Genomic DNA, 3,274 nt, shown 5'->3' on the forward strand with positions numbered 1-3,274 from the left:
GAATTCCCACTGCCCTCTCATCAGCCTGCCCAGAGCTTCGGGCTCTGGGTGCCCCAGATGCACAAGCAGGCCTCAGCATTTGTGGACATCCAGGCGGAGCCCCAGAACAGGGGTCCGGCGGTGCCCCCAGCGTGGCCCAAGATGGTGACGGAGTCGTGCTACTTCCCTGCGCAGAGGGGATCGGCCTGCCGCTTGCCAGCCGCCCCAAGGCTGACAGAGAGGCCCTCGGGAGTCCGCATCTCAGCCCCCAGGAAGAGGAAGACGATCGCCCACTCTTCCAGCCCTTGCTTGGTCACAGGTTACACAGATGCCAAGAGAACCCGGGTGGCCAGCAGCAGCCAACGCTCCCGTGGCTCCAAGGTCGGCAGACAGCCAGGGAAGACGCGCAACAGGTCAGGGATGGCATGCAAGACCACCGCCACCACCAGCTCTAAGCGAATCGTCCGTCGTGCATCCTTACCGAGTTTGAGTTTGAAGAAACCCATTATCCTCCGAAGCTCTGGGTGCCAAGTCCCCACCGTCCTCCGCCGAGGCTATCTCCAACTGTTCACCGAAGAGTGTCTCAAGTTCTGCGCCTCCAAGCAGGAGGCCGAGGAGAAGGCGCTGAACGAGGAGAAGGTGGCCTACGACTGCAGCCCCAACAAGAACAGGTACCTGAACGTGGTCCTGAACACCCTCAAGAGACTGAAGGGCCTGACCCCCAGCTCCATGCCCGGCCTCAGCAGGGCCGCCCTGTACAGCCGCCTCCAGGAGTTCCTGCTCACCCAGGACCAGCTCAAGGAGAACGGCTACCCCTTCCCGCACCCCGAGCGGCCCGGAGGCGCCGTCCTCTTCACTGGCCAGGGGAAGGGGCCCGGCGACTCCTCCTGCAGGGTCTGCTGCCGTTGTGGCACCGAGTACCTGGTGTCCTCCTCGGGCCGCTGTGTACGCGACCAGTTGTGTTATTATCACTGGGGGCGGGTCCGCTCGAGCCAGGTGGCTGGAGGCCGGGTTAGCCAGTACACCTGCTGTGCAGCTGCTCCTGGCTCTGTGGGCTGCCAGGTGGCAAAGCAGCACGTGCGGGACGGCCGCAAGGAGAGCCTCGATGGCTTCGTGGAGACCTTCAAGAAAGAGTTGTCCAGAGACGCTTATCCAGGAATCTACGCCTTGGACTGTGAGATGTGCTACACCACGCATGGCCTAGAGCTGACCCGCGTCACCGTGGTGGACGCCGACATGCGAGTGGTGTACGACACCTTCGTCAAGCCCGACAACGAGATCGTGGACTACAACACCAGGTTTTCCGGAGTCACCGAGGCCGACGTCGCCAAGACGAGCATCACGTTGCCCCAAGTCCAAGCCATCCTGCTGAGCTTTTTCAGCGCCCAAACCATCCTCATCGGGCACAGCCTGGAGAGCGACCTGCTGGCCCTGAAGCTCATCCACAGCACCGTGGTGGACACGGCCGTGCTCTTCCCGCACTACCTGGGTTTCCCCTACAAGCGCTCCCTCAGGAATCTCGCGGCCGACTACCTGGCACAGATCATCCAGGACAGCCAGGACGGCCACAACTCCAGCGAGGACGCAAACGCCTGCCTGCAGCTGGTGATGTGGAAGGTCCGACAGCGCGCCCAGATCCAGCCACGCCACCGGTCCGCCTCTCCCGCCGCCCTGGCCTGTCCTTAGCCCCAGGCCTCTTCCAAAACCGCCATCAGTCCCGAGAGCTCACCCTGCCCACCACCCTCCCCCGCAAAGCAAAAAAAACTGGAGCAGCCGGCAGCAGGAGAGGGCAAAAAGCCAAGAGTAACCCCAACCCCCCACTCCCGGTCCCCCGGAATCCCTGCCGCGGCCCCTCGGGCCTGTCCACATCCCTCTGCCCCTCCCAGACCTCTGTCCTTCCACCAATCGCCTCCCGCAGCCCCGAGCCGCCACTCCCAGTCCCCCGAGTCCCTGCCGCGCGCCCTCGCGCCTGTCCACATCCCTCTGCCCATCCGAGACCTCTGTCCTTACACCACTAGCCACCCCACGTGGGACTTCCATGGCTTCTGAGTACAAGGCCAGCCCCCCGGCCCACCAGCTTTCGGAATGCCTGCTTACCTCTTTTTCTGTAGAGGCACCACAGGGAGGTGGGTGAAGCACTTCGGCTCTGGAGTTACAGATCTGGGTTCAAGGCCAAATTCCACCACTTACTAGGTTTGTAATATTGGACAGATAACGTCTTTGCGCTTCTACCTTTTGGTCTTTAAAGTGTGATCAAAAGAGACTTAGACTCCCACATAGTAATAATAATAATAATGGCAAACTTAACACCCCACTGTCAACATTAGACACACCAACGAGACAGAAAGTTAAAAAAGGATATCCGGGAATTGAGCTCAGCTCTGCACCAAGCGGACCTAGGAGACATCTACAGAACGCTCCACCCCAAATCAACAGAATATACATTCTTCTCAGCACCACATCACACTTATTTCCACATTGACCACATAGTTGGAAGTAAAGCACTCCTCAGTAAAAGTAAAATTACAGAAATTATTACAAACGGTCTCTCAGACCACATTGCAATCACACTAGACCTCAGGATTGAGAAAGTCACTCAAAACCGCTCAACTGCATGGAAACCGGACAAGCTGCTCCTGAATGAGTACTGGGTACATAACGAAATGAAGGCAGAAATAAAGATATTCTCTGAAAGCAATGAGAACAAAGACACAACATACCAGAATCTCTGGGACACATTTAAAGCAGTGTGTAGAGGGAAATTTATAGCACTAAATGCCCACAAGGGAAAGCAGGAAAGATCAAAAATGCATACCCTAACATCACCATTAAAAGGATGAGAGAAGCAAGAGCAAACACATTCAAAAGCTAGCAGAAGGCAAGAATTAACTAAGATCCGAGCAGAACTGAAGGAGATAGAGACCCAAAAAACCCTTCAAAAAATCAATGAATCCAGGAGCGGGTTTTTTGAAACCATCCACAAAATTGATAGACCACTAGCAAGACTATTAAAGAATGAAAGAAAGAAGAATCAAGCAGATGCAATAAAAAATGATAAAGGGGATATCACCACTGATCCCCCAGAAGTACAAACTACCATGAGAGAATACTGTCAACACCTCTAGGCAAACAAACTCGGAAATCTAGAAGAAATGAATAAATTCCTGGACACATGCAACCTCCCCAGAGTAAACCAGGAAGAAGTTGAATGCCTGAATAGACCAATAACAGGCTCTGAAATTGAGGCAATAATTAATAGCCTATCAAGCAATAAAACTCCAGGACCAGACGGATT

At 55.3% G+C, this 3,274-nt stretch overlaps 1 pseudogene; it reads left to right on the plus strand.

The window, feature by feature from the left end:
- REXO1L12P (REXO1 like 12, pseudogene) lies at positions 725-1,718 on the plus strand (annotated as a pseudogene).

The sequence above is a fragment of the Homo sapiens genome, chromosome 8, assembly GCF_000001405.40.
Source record: "Homo sapiens chromosome 8, GRCh38.p14 Primary Assembly".
Lineage (NCBI taxonomy): Eukaryota > Metazoa > Chordata > Mammalia > Primates > Hominidae > Homo > Homo sapiens.